The 16,663-nt window shown below is 55.3% G+C and overlaps 1 long non-coding RNA gene across 1 annotated transcript; it reads left to right on the plus strand.

The window, feature by feature from the left end:
- The first annotated feature begins 12,069 nt into the window (after positions 1–12,069).
- On the plus strand, positions 12,070–12,754 carry LOC105370669 (uncharacterized). Its single transcript, XR_944211.1, has 2 exons — positions 12,070–12,140; positions 12,557–12,754. It is a non-coding gene; the product is annotated as an uncharacterized LOC105370669 (long non-coding RNA).
- The last annotated feature ends 3,909 nt before the right edge of the window (positions 12,755–16,663 follow it).

Here is a 16,663-nt window from a genome sequence, read left to right on the forward strand (position 1 = left end):
AGCTGGAGAGTTTGGGTGTTGTGGTAATCATGGAGACAGGGAGAGTGTTGGACTTAGTGGACACTGGAAGGTAAACCGGGGAAGTTGTGGACTTCCTAAATCCAGTCTTGTCAGTGCCCCATGTTATTTGCATGTGTCTTGTGGACAGGGTGGGGTAATGCCTGCAGCACTACTCTTTTAAATGTAGTAACCTGGGCCATGCACAGTGGCTCACGACTGTAATCCCAGCACTTTGGGAGGTAGAGGCAGGCGGATGACTTGAGGTCAAGAGTTCGAGACCAGCCTGGCCAACATGGTGAAACCCTATCTCTATTAAAATACAAAAAGTAGCTGGGCATGGTGGTGGGCACCTGTAATCCGAGCTACTCAGGAGGCTGAGGCAGGAGAATTGCTTGAATCCAGGAGGCGGAGGTTGCTGTGAGCTGAGATGGTGCCACTGCACTCCAGCCTGGGTGACAGAGCAAGACTCCACCTCAAAATAATAATAATAATAATAATAATGTAGTAACCTACCTAATCCTCCCAGTAGCCCTATGAGAGGGTGTCTCCAATGGGTTCCCACAACAGACCCTTAGCCTGGGATTTGGGTGCAAGCTGATGATTGAGGAAGGGCTTCTGGGGCCCGCCAGGGACCGGGAGGAAACCAGGCAGGGCTGTCCCAGACACACCTGGGCTCAGGGGCATGGCTCACCTGGGGGATCCACACGCCTTAGACAGGGGCTGCGGGGGACTTAACTTCCCAGGGTCTTCAGCTCCTTCCTGGGTGGGCACAGTAGGGAGTGGCCTCTGAGGAATGCTGCAGGTGCTGCCTGTTGGGAGAACAGGTTGCTGGAGGGGTGGGGGAGGGTGGTAGGAGAGCCTTTGCCATCACCCCAGCACGGGTTACACAGCTCATCCAAGGTCACACAGCTGCTGGGGGGCAGGGCTGGGAGGGGGCGGGTAAGGCTGGAATTGAGGGGCTTCGTGGAAGCCAGGGGCTTTCATGGGGAACCCCAAGTCCTAAAGACACAGGATCAGAAGATGACAATATTGTTTTTCAGGAGCCATGTGAGCCGTACAGTACTGGGGAGAGGACCGAAGGCTGGGTCCCAGGTGAAGCCCTACCGGCTACTGGAGCACTGGGCACCAGGGGCTTCACCCCTCAATGCCCGGCCACATGCACATCATCCGATCCCAATAGCCCAGGAGCTCCTAGGCCTCAACCCTTAGAAAGGCAGCATTTCACAACCTCCCTCCCCACCATGAGTCTTCATGGGTGTGGCTCCGGCTCACCCCGCGGCTCTGGGCTGCCCACCGCATGGCCCCACGGCCCCTGGCAGTGTTTCTCTCTTCTCCTGGGCTGCAGAGGGCCAGGGTCTCCCAGAAAACCTTTTCCGTCCCTGCTAGTTAAATTTGTTTTTTTCAACAGCTTTTACAGAGATGGAGTTTATACATCATAAATATCACTCCTTTTAAGTATCTAATTCAATAGTGTTTAGTGAATTTGCAGAATTGTACAACCATTATCACAATCTAATTTTAGAACGTTTCCATCACCAAAAAGAAACCTTGCGCTCTGCTGATTTGTTTTTTTCATGTCTTCACTGCGGGGCCTCCCCTCCCCACTCTATGAACAGTAATGGATACCTGTGCACTGTGTCTCCTGCCAGGTTCTGATCCAGGGCTTTCTAAGCACGTATTCACTTACCATCCGGGCAGCCAGGTGGGGCAGGTCCTCCTATGATCCGAGGCCAAAAGTGTCGAAGTACCTGCTGTAGTGGGTGAATGGTGGCCCCAAAAAGCCACGTCCACCTCCTGATTCCCAGAATCTGTGGCTGTGACCTTATTTGGAAAGAGGGTTTTTGCAGATGAAATTAAGTGAAGGATCTCAAGCTGAGATCATCCCGGATTATCTGGGAGGGCCCTAAATACAGTGACAAGTGTGGAAATAAACAAGGGCCGCTCAAACGAGAGAAGCAGAGGCCATTTATCCAGAGCTTTCTGCAGACTGGGCTCAGCTACCACTACTTGTGTTGGGCAGAGACTCAAAGGTGGGAAGAGGAGCGGAGAAGCTTCGCAGGGAAAGCTGGAGCTGCTTTGGGTGTGCTCTGACCGGAGGCTGTTGGTGTGGGGGAGCCAGAGGTGCCTACCTAGCATCGGGGCATCACCTGGGATGGGCTAGGGTGCATATTTGGCTTTCTCTGGTTGGCCGTTAGTCAGAAGTGGGACAAAAATAGGAAGCTGTCAGTTAGGAGTCAAGTCCTGGCCATTTGGGGCCAATTGTCACAGAAGCCACGGTTTAGCTTCCTGCATTGTCACTAGAGATGGCTATCGGGCCTCCTGCAAGCCTGGCTCACTGCAGGCTGGCTTCCTCCACTGTTTATGGGGGATGTGGGGTCAGTTTCCTGGCAGGTTGTTGCAGGTGTGGGTCAGCGTTCTGTTTTCAGAACAGACCCCTGTGGGAGGGGCACTGAGCTTCCTGGTGGCCAGTGGGAAGAGGGGGTCATGGCAGAGTGAGATAGAAGCAGAGAGTGGGCTTGGGGTCTGTCTGGGAGCAGGCAAGAGCACTGTTGGGTAAGAACTACTTGAAAAGGGACAGCGGCCGGGCGCGGTGGCTCACGCCTGTAATCCCAGCACTTTGGGAGGCCGAGGAGGGTGGATCATGAGGTCAGGAGATCGAGACCATCCTGGCTACCAAGGTGAAACCCCGTCTCTACTAAAAATACAAAAAATTAGCCGGGCGCGGTGGCGGGTGCCTGTAGTCCCAGCTACTCGGGAGGCTGAGGCAGGAGAATGGCGTGAACCCGGGAAGCGGAGCTTGCAGTGAGCTGAGATTGCGCCACTGCAGTCCGCAGTCCGGCCTGGGCGACAGAGCGAGACTCCGTCTCAAAAAAAAAAAAAAAAAAAAAAGAAAAGGGACAGCAAACCTCAATGGTATGGCCACTGTCCCTTTGGATATTTAGTCCCTTGCAGGTGTCCTTTGACACACAGAGACGAGACGCAGGTTGTGTGGAGACAGAGGCAGGGGTTGGAAGGAGGCTGCCACAAGCCAACGAATACCTGGAGGACCAGAAGCTGCAAGAGGCCTGAGAGGACCCTCCCCTAGAGCCTCTGGAGAGAGCACGGCCCTGCCCACACCTGAGCTGTGGACTTGTGGCCTCCGGAACAATGAAAGAATAAATTTCTGTTGTTTTTAGCCACCAAGATGTGGAAATTTGTAATGGCAGCTGACAGAAGTTTGCCCAAGGTGACACCATTGGTGGATGGAAGGACTAGGATTGGAGCCCAGGCAAGGTTCTGGTAGGGAGTGGGAGCAGGGCTTGCCCATTCCACCACAGCAAGGCAGGTGGATGGGGGCTGCGGGAGGGCAAGAAGGGCTCTGTGGTTACCAGTTTGCAGCCCCAGGAGGATCCACGCTCCTAGTGAAAGCCAGGCCATGAGGCTCTGTGCTGGTTGGAAGTGGGAAAGCTCAGGTCTCATTCATTCATCCAATCATTCATTCATTCATTCCACCTTCACCCAGATCTGAAGATGGCCTTGGTGGCTTGTGACATAGTTCTGAGCAGTGCTCTGGACCAAGCTTGTTCTTCAGATCCATCCTTGGCCTCATGAGGGGCCGGGCAGGTCAATACCCTCTGCCTATACACCTGCAGGATCCCCTTGCAGGCTGTCAATCCCGAAGCCCCAGAACCGCGCAGATTTCCTTCTGTGTTAATACCTTAAAAATTGAAGAAAAATCCAGCTGTCACACAATGTCACTGTTGAAGGCCTTGATGTTATTCTTCCTTCACTCTGCTCCAGAATGGCTTTAAAGTGGCTTATCTAGTGACACCCACATAGCAAGTAGAGGGAGGCTGGGATGAGGGCAAACCGGGCAGGGGGAAGGGAGCTGGTGAGGCACACAGAGGCCAGCATGAAGCTGTGCAGACCCTGTGGGCAGGCCACAGGGAGGGGCACTGAGCTTCCTAGTGGCCAGCAGGAAGAGGGGGTCATGGTAGTGTGAGATAGAAGCAGAGCGTGGGCTAGGGCTCTGTCCGGGGCAGGTGAAAGCACTGTCGAGTAAGAACAACTTGAGAAGGGACAGCAAACACCAGGCTGAGCCCCTGTCTCTGCTGGGCTGGCCCTAGTCTGGCTGGGAGGTGGGAGGCATATGTTCTGATTTTGTTTTCTGGCATTTTCCCCTTTGAGAAGCTCTTGCTGTCTTGTTTGGGCACACAGTCCAGCCGACCACAGTACCCCACCTCATCCACAAGGTGGGACGTGACGTGGAGCTGGGGGTGGGGTGGATGGGTGGTGGTCAGAGTCCGTTTTGGGAATTCCTATGAGCTGGAACAGAGAGATGAGCTGCCGTGCACTGGGGGATTGTGAGCTATGGTGACAATGTGAGCGGGAAGGGGCTGTCCCATCTTTCATGACATCGTAGAGATGGTCATCTGCTTCAAGAAGGAATGAGGCCAGGGCCCAAGGGAGAGCAGGACTGAGCAGAAAGAAAAGGTGGTTAGGTGAAGAGGGAACCCTGATAAGATCCATCTGCTCCTGGATCCACCCATGCCTGACATCCTGATACTTTCCCCAGACCCTTCAGTTAAGTGAGTCCACAAAGTACTAACAGATTGCTTTAAACAAATTGCTTTTGCCAGGAACGTCTCAATCACGTAGGTATCTAATCTGAAAAGGACAGAGTGGGAAGGGCCTGGGGAGGAGGAAGACAGGAAGACTCGTTAGCTGGCTTTAAATCCTCTCCTCCATGCCTTTGGTGGCCTTTGGGCTGGGGGGAGGGGGCCCGACTGTACTCCCTGAAAGTGGGATTCAGTGCGCAGGGATAACAGGGCTGGCCTTGGCGGTCCTATGCAGGCCATTCGCTGTGGCTGGCACTGTGGAGGTGCATTTTGGGGAGGGGGTGTAATGAGGACAGACAGGTACTGAGCCACAGAGCTCACAGTCTACTGGGCAGGGGTCATCAGAGGCCCCCAAAAGAACATTGCGCACCTCTTGCCCCTGGAGTCCGGCCACAGGATGCCAGCTAGTGCAGGAATAAGACTTTTTCTTTCCCCCTTAGAAAGTATTTTGTTTCTTCACCAAGACACAGAGAAGGAGCTGCTCCTGGTATTTCTGAAGCACGAATGCTTTGCTTTTAGTCATCTGGGGTCCTTCTCCTGGGGCAGGGCTTCTGACCTTGGCCTTTGGGGCCGGAGGATTCTTTGTGGGGGCCTGTCCTGTGCATCGTGGGGTGTTCAGCAGCAACTCTGGTCTCTATCCACTGGGCTCCAGCGACCCTTTCTCAATTCCGATTGAAACAACCAGAAATGCCCCCAGGCATTGCTAAATGTCCCCTGGAGGGGGACAAAAATCACCTCGATTGAGCACCAGTTTCCTGGGAACATCTACCTTCATGCTTTGGACACAGGAAGATACAGCAGAAAAGGGTAAACAAAGAAGTTAATTCTTTCTTTTTTTTTGGTGATTTAAAAAATTGTAAACTTTATATAACATAAAATTGATGATTGTAACCATTTTATAGTGGCACTAAGTACACTGACATTGTTGTAAAACCACCATTATCTATTTCCAGAATGTTTTCATCATCCTAAACAGCAACTCTGTGCCCATTAAACAACAGCTCCCTCATCTCCCCTCTCTCCAGCCCCTGGCAACTACCACTTCTACTTTCTGTCTACGAGTTTGACTACTCTGGGAACCTCGTATACTCATACGGTATTTGTCCTTTTGTGTCTGGCTGATGTCACTGAGCATAAGATCTCCGAGGTTCATCCATTTGCAGCATGTGTCAGAATGTCCTTCCTTTTCCAGGCTGAGTAATACTTCACTGTGTGCACACACCACATTTTGTTAACCCATTCATCCATCGATGGACATTTGGGTGGTTTCCACCTTTTGGTTTTCATGAATTATGCTGCATTGAATGTCTACGTTGTGAAAGGTGTACAAGTATCCACTGGAGACCCTGCTTCCCGTTCTTCTGACTGCATACTCAGCAGCGGAATTGCTGGATCATATAGCAATTTGGTGTTTAACTTTTTGAGGAGCCTCCATACTGTTTAGAAGTTAATTCTTGATGGTTTAGTTTCAAAATAGGCTTGTGAGCTCCTGTGCTGAGGTGGAAGGAGTGCTATGGGTGGGTGAGGAGGGCACGGGTACCCTGGGTCTCTGAGATAACACCAAGAGCCTGTTGCCCCCAGCAGCTGCCTGCTGTGCTAGCCCAATGCCGGGAAGAGGAGTGTAGGGAGTGAGGACAGGGGACCAAGAGTCAGCTCTTGCCACCCCCAGGACGGTCCTTAGAGGAGCTGAGTTGTAGAAAAACAAAGTCATGTATCCGGCACCTGAGGCTCTGCTCGAGACTGGTCCTGTTTGCTGGGCCCCAGCACTCCTCACCATGGAGTGTGACCACGGTAGTTTTAGCCTGGAAATATCAGCAGGATGGGAGTGGCCCAGCACCTACACGGACCATAAAATTATTTCCATAAAGCAGCCACAGAACACCTCTCTGGGAACACCACGAGGGCCTGTGAGCCCTCCAAGATCAACACAGCCCCCCGCACCCGCCAAGGCCCCAAACAAGGAGGGCTGCTGTTGAGGCCAGACGGGGCAGCCGTTCGGAGCTGTGCGTGTCTACCTGGAACAAGGCCTGCAGTCTCAGCCTGTCCATCTGCAGCCTTGTCTCCTGGGGCTGGTCAGTAGCAGGACCAGGTGTCGGGGAGGGGTTGATAAAGGCCGTCTGTCTGTCTGTTTCGGCCCGTGTTGACCATGGCTGGACTTCAGTAGTGCCCGAATAAGGGATCTGGTCTCGAATACTCTTGAGTCTCCCTCAAGGGTGGGGCCTGCACAGTCTATGCTCCTTCCCAGAACCCTCCTTGCCTGCGTCTCTCGACAGCTGGGCACAGAAGGCAGTACGCTGCCCAGTTTATGGATGAGGAGTCTGGGCTTAGAGGCCAAGACTGAGGCAGCAGTACCCGTGATCTGAATCCTGGATCTCCAGACCCAGCCCAGCTCCCGGCCCTCCCCAGCTCGGTTCCTGAACTCGGGGAACCTGTTTGCTTACTTCTGGGTTGATTTCTATCAGTGTCACCACTGCACAAAGAGGACAGGGCAGACCAGGATGGAGGAACAGGCGACTAAGGCTGTGGAGGGGTGGATGCCAGCTCCTGAAGACCACAGGCCACCTGACCTCTTAGGCGGGTGGGTGTGTGGTGAGAATCGGCTGTCTTTCTCCTGGCAGCATGACTTGAAAGGGAGATGTCGATGCAGGAATAACTCCCCTGCAGCTGTGGGTTTTAGTCTGGGCTCCCCACTGGACTAGCCTGCGTACCCTTGGGCAAAGTCCTTAACCCCTCTGAGCCTTTTGCCTTTGGACAAATGGGGACGAGTCTATAAGGTGGAGTGGTTGTGAGATAAAATATGGTAATACAGGTACAGTCCACAGCACAGTGCCTGGCGCAAGGTTCAGGTGTGCAATAAATGTTCACTGCTGCTGGTGGAGGTGGCAGCCACTGTCAACATCGAGGGTGTGAGTCTGGTGCTGGGTTGACAAAGGGCGGAAAGGATTCTGTGTGGCTCACCAAGAGGAGAAGTAGGACCCTCAACAGTTTTCCAGAGCCAGACCTCACCAGAGAGAAGGGACAGGATGTGGAGTGGGCACTGTGAATCCCAGTGGGGGCCCTGACATTGCGGCTCCTGTCCCATGTGGGTGCCCCCTCCAGTCACCCTCTTCTGATGGCATCTGGTGGGTATTGAGCCACCTGAGCTGGTCCAAGGGACAATGGGAGCAGGAGTGGCGAGCACATGTCCACCCTGGAGCCCAGATGTGAGACAGGTGGAGGGCAGGTGGTGCCAACTAGAGGCAGAGCCAGTCTTGGTCCAAGTGAGTGAATCCAACCCACGTGAGCACTGACCCGGCTGAGGAGCTAAAAATTCCAAAGTGGACTGGAGATGCAGAGGGCTGGCTGGGTGTGGTGATGGAGGTACTTGGTCTGGATGGATTTCAGGGGTCCGGGCCAATGTCCGTGGCAGGGCTTTCCTCACCACAGGGTGAAGCCACACGGTTGGGTCGAGTCTGTTTAAAAAGGCGAGGTGGGGACCTCAGGGAGCTGGAGGTACATAACAGTTTCCTGCCAGTCCCTGGCTCTCAGATGCCCACACAGTTCCTGGCACCTATACCAGGGTAGGGAAGGAGGAGGTTTTGAAATAGCATTCGCAGGGCTGATTGGGGTGTGGCTACCCTGGCCTTCTGGAATGCCCCCAGCTACTACAGAGTCTCTGGGAAACAGACTCAGTGACAGAATCTCTTTCTTCTTATACAAAATGGACCAGCTTGGACAACAAAGAGAGACCCCATCTCTACAAAAAACGAAAACCTTAGTGGGCGTGGTGGTGCTTGCCTGTGGTCCCAGCTCCTCCAGAGCCTGAGGCTTGGGGGTCACTCAAGCCCAGGAAGTTGAGGCTGCAGTGAGCCTTCGTCATGCCACTGCACTCCAGCCTAGGTGACAGAGCGAGACTGTTTTAAAACAAAGCCAAACCAAACAAAATGGGGACCAAGAGAGGACCTGGCACATGGCGGGCACCCAGTCCGAGCCGGATCCCTCCCTCCTTCCTGGGAAGTGAGGACAACCCACTGCTATGCCCGCTAATAGAGGGTTACGGGCATCGACTAGTGCAGAGGCTTTATTAGCGGTCAAGTGCTATTAATAAATAAATCCCTAAATCATTTTATAAGCTACAAGTGCTTGAAGAAAAATAAAGCGGGAATGGGGATAGGGATACAGGGATGGGCTGGCGGGAGGGGAGGGCAGTAGAAGACCTCGCTGAGAAGGTGAATTTGACCAAGACCTGAAGGAGGTGAAGGAGTGAGCCCCGGGCCACTGGAGAGGACTGAGCAGGCTGTGCACCGGGCTCGGGGCTGCAGCAAGGGGGCCAGAGGACTGAGCAGGCTGTGCACCGGGCTCGGGGCTGCAGCAAGGGGGCCAGAGGACTGAGCAGGCTGTGCACTGGGCTCGGGGCTGCAGCAAGGGGGCCAGAGGACTGAGCAGGCTGTACACCGGGCTCGGGGCTGCAGCAAGGGGGCCAGAGGACTGAGCAGGCTGTGCACCGGGCTCGGGCCAGCAGCAAGGGGGCTAGAGGACTGAGCAGGCTGTGCACCGGGCTCGGGGCTGCAGCAAGGGGGCCAGTGTGGCTACTAGGGAGGCACCAGAGAGTGAGCGACGAGAGAAGGGGCGTCAGGCAACAGCCAGGGGCTCGGGGGCAAGATAAGGAAGAGGGAGGCTCCATGGCAAAGGCCCCATGGTGAGGCGTGAGGTGGCCTGGCTTGGAAAGGCTTGCCCTGCACAGGAGAAGCAGGGCGGCCAGCTGCGAGATGGTCGCCACGATCCAGGCTAGAGCAGCTGTGGGCCTCGAGGGTGGTGGCATGGAGAGACAAAGTGGTGGGATTCCAAACACGTTTTGAAGATAAAATCAGCAAGTCCTGCGGGAGAAGGAGAGTGCTCCGGAGGCCTCCAGGGTTTCTGGCCTGAGCCACGGATGCACTGAGGGGGATGCTCTCCTCCTGGGCCTGTGAAGGTGATGGGGCTTGGGGGAGCAGGGTGTGGAGACACAGTGTCAGTAGGGACCGGGGCCCAGGTGACCTCCAGCTTTGGGGGCAACAGCAGCTCTCACGGCTGCAGTCGGCGTGTCCCCCCACCTCCAAACCACGAGGCACTGTCAGGCTTGGGGAAGGAGAGCTGCTTCCGGGCCAGAAGTAAAAGAGGGCAGGGTCGACTTTCGGGCACACAGAGGGCGGCTGGGTCCCGGGGAGCACTTAAGAAATGTTGGCGAATGAAGCTTGAGACAGTTTCCTGTCTCCATAGATGCGTGTGTGCACACACTGATACACACACGGACACACACTCTCTCACACCCTCACACACTGACACACACTCACACCCTCACACACACGCACTCTCACACCCTCACACACTCACTGACACACACACCGACACACCTACACTCTCACACCCTCACACACTCACTGACACACACACTGACACACCTACACTCTCACACCCTCACACACTGACACACACATTCACACCCTCACACACACAATGACACACACCCTCATACAGTCAGTCACTGTCACACATAACCTCAGACACAGTCACTGACACACACACTCACACCCTCATGTACACACTCGCACAATGACATACACTCACACTCATACACACAGTCACTGACACACGCACACTCTCATACACACACTGACACACTGACACACTGACACACACCCTCATACACACTCACTGACACACACACACAGACACTGACTCTTATACACTCACATCTGGATCATAAATATACCCATATTCATGAGTTTATTGGCAACTTGTGTTTTTCTCTTTATACTTGTCTCTAAGTTTTCTAAAATAAATACATATTACTTATGTTTAACAAACAAAATCCCTTTTTTCTGTTGTAAGATTTCTATTATCTTAGAAACAGAGATTCTACTTTTAAAAAACTGTTGAAGGGCCAGGTGCAGTGGCTCACGCCTGTAGTCCCAGCACTTTGGGAGGCCGAGGCGGGCGGATCACAAGGTCAGGAGATCGAGACCATCCTGGCTAACACAGTGAAACCCAGTCTCTACTAAAAATACAAAAAATTAGCCAGGCGTGGTGGTGGGCGCCTGTAGTCCTAGCTACTCAGGAGGCTGAGGCAGGAGGATGGTATGAACCCGGGAGGCGGAGCTTGCAGTGAGCCGAGATTGTGCCGCTGCACTCTAGCATGGGCGACACAGCGAGACGCCGTCTCAAAAAAAAACTGTTGAAAAGCGATTAACCTGAAATAAGGGAAAATCGTTAGACAACAATGACACCATGACAGACCTGCTTCTCCTAATCAAAAGTAAAATTTTAAATCCTAAATATCCCAAGTAAAAGATTAGCAGCCAGCTGTGGTACCAACCACTCCACGAACTGTTATGCAGCCATTTATACTTTGTCTCTTCTGAATTTAGATAAACATAGGGAATGTCTCCTGTATAAGAACCAACAAGAAACAAGATCACAGAGACAGCATGATCTCTGGCATGTAAAACAAAACTGAAGGGAAATGAACAGAAAAAAGACTGGAAGGAAATACCTCCATGTCAATGTTTCCTATGCAGAGGAACGATGGATGATTTATTATTTGGATTTTTCAGCCTCCCCTACATTTTCTTTAAATAACATCTATTGTTTTCAGAAAGAAAAACAACTCCATTTACCTTTCATTTTTAAAAATTCTACCCGGCCTTAAAATCCCACTTGAAAGACCAGCAGCTTGGCGGGGTGTCTTCACCCCCTGCTCAGGGGCACCCCTTAGCCAGCAGGCGTTGCTCACCGCCCTCAAGGGGCTTTGGGTTCAGATGGGCAGCCAGGGGAAGCGAATGCGATACCACCCTGGGCTTCCTCTGACGGCCATGGACCTGCTGGGCATAGACAGGAGGTGGGAGGGGCAGAGTTGGCCTCACCTGGCCCTCCAGGTGAGGGCTGGCGTCAGTTACCGGCCAAGGCCTCTGGGTGGCTCCTGCTGCCCTTGGCTGGGACACCACCCCTCTCCTGCCCCACACCCTCCCTGCTCCTTCTCAAATGTCCGCCTTCCTGGCAGCTGAGGGCCAGCGAGCAACTGGGCCAGGAGGGCCTGGAAACGCCTCTTCTCCTCATTCTACTCAAGATGGCTCTGGGGACAGAAAAGGACCCCTCTGTGCCCCAAATGTTGGGAACAAGGGCAGTGCTGGTAATAGGCTCACATTTGCACAAGGCGGGTCAAAGTTCCGGGCCGTGTGTCACCTGGGGGCTGGGCCAAAGGGGGCGCATCTTGCTGTGACATGGTGAAGGTGGGCAGGGTAGACCCGACGCTGAGGTAGGGGAGCGGGGCAGCGGGCTCCTCCTTCCTCACGTCCTATACTGTGCGGCGGCCCCTGACTTGGCCCCCTCTCCCTGGCTCTGTACTCCCAAACGTCACGTTGCGCCCCTCCCGTGCGCCCTCCAGCCAGGGTGGCCCGGCCTTGGCCGTTATGACGCCAGGGGAGCCGTTTGGCCGGCTCGGCCTCGGGTGATGGGAAGTTTCACTGCCCGGCCCTGTGGCCTGCGTTCTGTCTAACGCAGCTGTCTGTGCAGCTCCCGGGAGGGGTGAGAACAGCCAGCCACCTGGCTGAACTTGCTGGGAACCGACGTCAGGAGCAGGAGCTAGGCTGCAGTGGGCCTCACGGGGGCCTGGACGGGGAGAGCGGCTCCGTGGGCTCTGGGGCCTTCCCTCTCCACGCAATTGCGATCCCAGTGATGGGTGGGACAGAGATCCCCGTTGTCCCTGTCACCGCTCCCGCCTCCACTTGCCGGGCCTGAGGACAATTGAGGGGCTCTGCGAGCCCTGGGCGCCCCCCCAGCCCAACCCTCCTCCCTGGGGCCCCGCCGGCCCCCAGGCCTCCCCTGGCCTGGCCTTCCTTGCTGAGGGGGCGGGCCAGCGGGAGGAAGTCATCCGCTGTATTGTCGTCTTAATGCCTGTGCGATGAGGTGTGAAATTCTATGTTCCCAAAATTTGTTATCAGCCTCGCTCCTGTCCTCCGGAGCGGGCTGTGCGGAGGCAGCCGGGAGAACAGTCGGCTCCGAGGACAAGAGTGATGGGAGCGCCCCGGCCCCGCGGAATCCATCATTCCGGAGGGAACCTTCGGCAGGCTTCATTAGGCTCGAAACGATCATGAATATCCTCCCCTCACCTGTTCTCATTAATAATGGCTCCCCTCTTATCTTTTTTTTGCCACACGTATCATTCTTTTAAGAAACATACACAACCCAGGGAGAAAGCCCGGCGCCTGCCCGGGAGCCCAGCCGCAGCCTCTGCGTCCCGCCCCTCCTCCCCAACGCGCGCCGGCAGGGGGCGCGGCGGGCTCGCCACGGAGAGCGGGAGCTGGGGCCGCGCAGGGCGGGAGTCCTGCCCCTGGGTGGGGGGGACATGGGGCTGGGACTGCGGGCCGGGTAGACCACCAGGTGGGGAAAGTCAAGCCTTCTGGAACCTTCCAGCCCCGCGAAGCCTCCCCGATCCCCTCTGGCTGTGCTTTCCCCTGAGACAAATGCTGGCCTTCTCTAACCGTTTGCCTGTTTCGGTTCGTTTTATAATTTATTTTATTTTATTTTAATTAATTAATTTATTTATTTTTGAGATGGAGTCTCTCTCTTTCACCCAGGTTGGAGTGCAGTGGTGCAATCTTAACTCACTGCAACCTCCGCCTCCCGGGTTCAAGCGATTCTCCTGCCTCAATATCCCAAGTAGCTGGGATTACAGGTGCCGGCCACCATGTGTGGATAATTTTTGGGTTTTTAGTAGAGACGGGGTTTCCTCATGTTGGCCAGGCTGGTCTCAAACTCCTGACCTCAGGGGATCCACCTGCCTCGGCCTCCCAAAGTGCTGGGATTACATGCGTGAACCGCTGCGCCCCCGCCAGTTTCTTTTTATGTTAAAAGTGGTTTCAATTATAAAATAGATGGCCCTCTCTTTTGAAGTGCAAAGCAGGTAGTCCTCCCGTTGGGGTTCCCCAGCCACTCCCAAAGCCCAGCGCCAGTCAGTTTCTCCTGTGATCCCCGGAAGCGTCTAGGCATGTGCAAACAGATCAATAGGAAAGGGGATCTTGTATATATTCTTTTTCACTTTACATACATGAGTTCGTTTTACACACACTGTTCTGCAACTCCTTTTTGTTAACCTCACGATGTAGGAGATATTCCAAGCGTAATTTTCCCTGTTTTATACAAGAGCCTAGGGGAGTGAGGCTTTGGGGAGCTTCTCCTCCTGGCTTCTCCTCATGGCTTTCTTCCTCCTGCCCCTCCTCCACGTCCCCAGCCCCCCATTTCTGCCTTCCTTGCTGCTCCACTTGGCCTAGCCATGACCTCTGTGTGGTCGTCACTGTCTTGTGTTCTTGCTTCTGTCGTGGCCGCCAGAGTGACCGCACTGCAGCTTTTTAAAGCTCTGACCTTGTCTTTCGTCTTCTCAGAGCCTGTCTGAGGCTCCCCAAAGACATTGCCCAGCGGCCTGGCATTCAGGACCCCAGCTGGGCAGCCCTGCCGACCTTCGGCCTCCTCAGGGACAGCTGCTCCCCTCACTCTGCCGGGCCTTGGACTCGTCTCCCAGAATAGCCAGGCACACTGGCGCCCTAACCTTCCCTGGCTCAAGCTTGTCCTACTGCCGGGAAGGCCTCCCCCTCCCCTGCATTTGGCAAACTCATGTGTACCCTTCAAGGCCCATCCCCAAGGTCACCTCCACTGGGAAGCCTTCCAAGGGCTCTCAGGCCCTGCCTGGTTCGCCTTAGCACTCCTGCAGCTCGGCTGGAAGGAGAGGCCCCCTGGGACCTGCCTGGGCTCTGTCCGGCTCTGGGCAGCTGTGCTTGGACCTGGGGCTTTTGGTCAGATGTGCTGTCCCGTCCTTCCTCCTGTGCCTGCTAGCTTCCACCGGGCACTTACTAGGGCCTGGTGGACCTAGGAAGCTGGTCCTATATAATTCCCATGCTACAGGCACCACTCCGAAGCTCAGAGAGGCGTAGGCAGTGTGCCCTGGGCCCACAGGCCATCTGTCCGTCTGCTCTTCCACATTAGCCTCCTTTCACTAAATCCCAGCTTCCTCCAGCAGCAAGAAGCCTGCTCGCTCCCCAGGGGCAGTACTGAAGGAAGGCATGCCTGCCTGAAATCTGTCCTCAAGGTCCCAGGCCGGCTGGGGCCCCAGGGAGAAGTCTCGGGTTTGGTAATCGTGTTCCGGCCTTGAGCTGCCGCTCTTCCTGTGAGCGTGCCAAGGGGCCTCTGCCTTCCTGAGGAGAAAGAGGTGGCCTGGACCTCTCGGTACCCAGACGGCCCTGGAGGACAGGCTTGTGTTTTGACAAGTGACAGGGCTGAGGAAGCTCCTTGGGTAGAGGGAACAATAGGAACTGAGGCCTCGAGGCCTAGAGGGGAGTGGGAAATTGGGAAGTGATCAGCCCCAGAGGCAGGAGGGCTCTGAGACTGAGAGAGCACATGGAGAGGGGACGGAGGTCCTCACTGCAGGACGCTTGGCTTGGGCAGACAGGGAGTGGGCATATGTGACCCAGGTGTTAGAACTGGGTTGTGGGAGGGGAGCAGGCACCAGGATCCAGGCCGCCTTTAGGTTTGTGATAATCACCTCCAGAGCCAGAGGGGGAAACCGAGGCCTGGGCGGGAGGGAGGTGCAGTGATGTCCCCAGCAGTGGGCCGGAGCATCTGGGTGTCCCACAGGCCTGCTCCCCGCTGGCCCATGGGTTCCCGGTGGGCTGTCCCCAGACTTCGTCCCCTGCCTCAGGGCCACAGAGGCAATGTGCCGGTAGGCAACAGCATCTGGGCCCTCCAGGGCCCTCGTGTCACTTGTTCCGCAGTCGTGGTCTCCAGACTTGCTAATTAGTTGGTAACTACACACCCCGAAAAATGTGCCTGTCTCGATGACACGGTCCGCCCTCCAGCACTCCCTGTTGCCTCTTTCCCGGCAAAGCTGGGGGAAGAAAAAACCAGCGGCCTCCCTTTTCTGGAGGAAGAGTCACCTGCAGGTGTTTTTACAAAGTCGGGGCCAGAGACCATAGGAATAAATGCCATGATTCATGTTTGCAAACCCCTCCTGCCAGCTTCTGTCTTGACAAGCCAGGAGGGCTGGGGAGGAGGCAGGCAGAGGTGGAACCTGGGAATGCCGCCAAGGGCTTGCTTCGAGGCAGTGTTCCCTATCACAGGTAGAACCGTGCAGGCCTCAGGACAATTGGGTGGAGGGGGAGGGGCTCCGGATAGCCACAGGTGGTCCAACTGGCCACTCATCGCCTGGCCACCCCCAAGTAGGTGGTCTGGGTCCCCAGGGCCACCCAGCAGGGAGGCACCTCCACCCTTGAGAGAGGCTTGATGACCTTAAAGGCCAGCGGGAACGTTCTTAATTCTTGTAATAACCACGACTGGGACAAATGGTGATAACCGAGGTGTCGCTGCTCTGCTCCCAGGCTCTCCTTCCAGCCCCAGCTCACCACGGCCATGCCAGAGCTCTGAGGGGGTTCTTCTCAGGGCAAGAGTCCTTAACCCCATCTTACAAATGTGCTCACCGCAGTCGGGAGAAGTTCAAGACACCCCTTCAATCAAAGGCACCAGCCAGGTGGCGTGGGCAGGACTGGGTACTGGGTTTCCCACCGCTGACTTGGACTGAGGCTTGGCATGGGGGTCGGTGGGACAGGGAGTAGGTATTTTTAGGGTTGGGGGATCTCTGAGGTCACATGTAAAGGATAATCATCTCCTCTGGTTTCTGGCAAAACCCAACCCTGTCCAAGGAGGTCTGCCCACCTCCCCTCCTGTGTGTGTGTGTGTGTGTGTGTGTGTGTGTGTGTGGAGTCTCTCTGATATTTATTAAGCATCTACTGCTTGCCCTGTGGAATACTCTGCAGCTCCTCCCCCACAGACTCCTGCTGAGGAGAGGAGCACTCATCCTCGGGAGCACCCAGCCGCCTCCAGGGACCCTCCCAGGGCAGAGGCAGGAGGAACAGTGCAGGTCCAGGAGGGGCTGGATGGAGCCTGGGGGGTTGCGGAGAAGTGAGGGCAGAAGGCAGGCCTGGGGCATGATTTTCTCACGACCTTCTCCCGGATGAGGAGCCGATGGAGAGGTTCATGCTGGGGCTCCGAAGGGGGACCAA

Source organism: Homo sapiens, chromosome 14 (assembly GCF_000001405.40).
Source record: "Homo sapiens chromosome 14, GRCh38.p14 Primary Assembly".
NCBI lineage: Eukaryota > Metazoa > Chordata > Mammalia > Primates > Hominidae > Homo > Homo sapiens.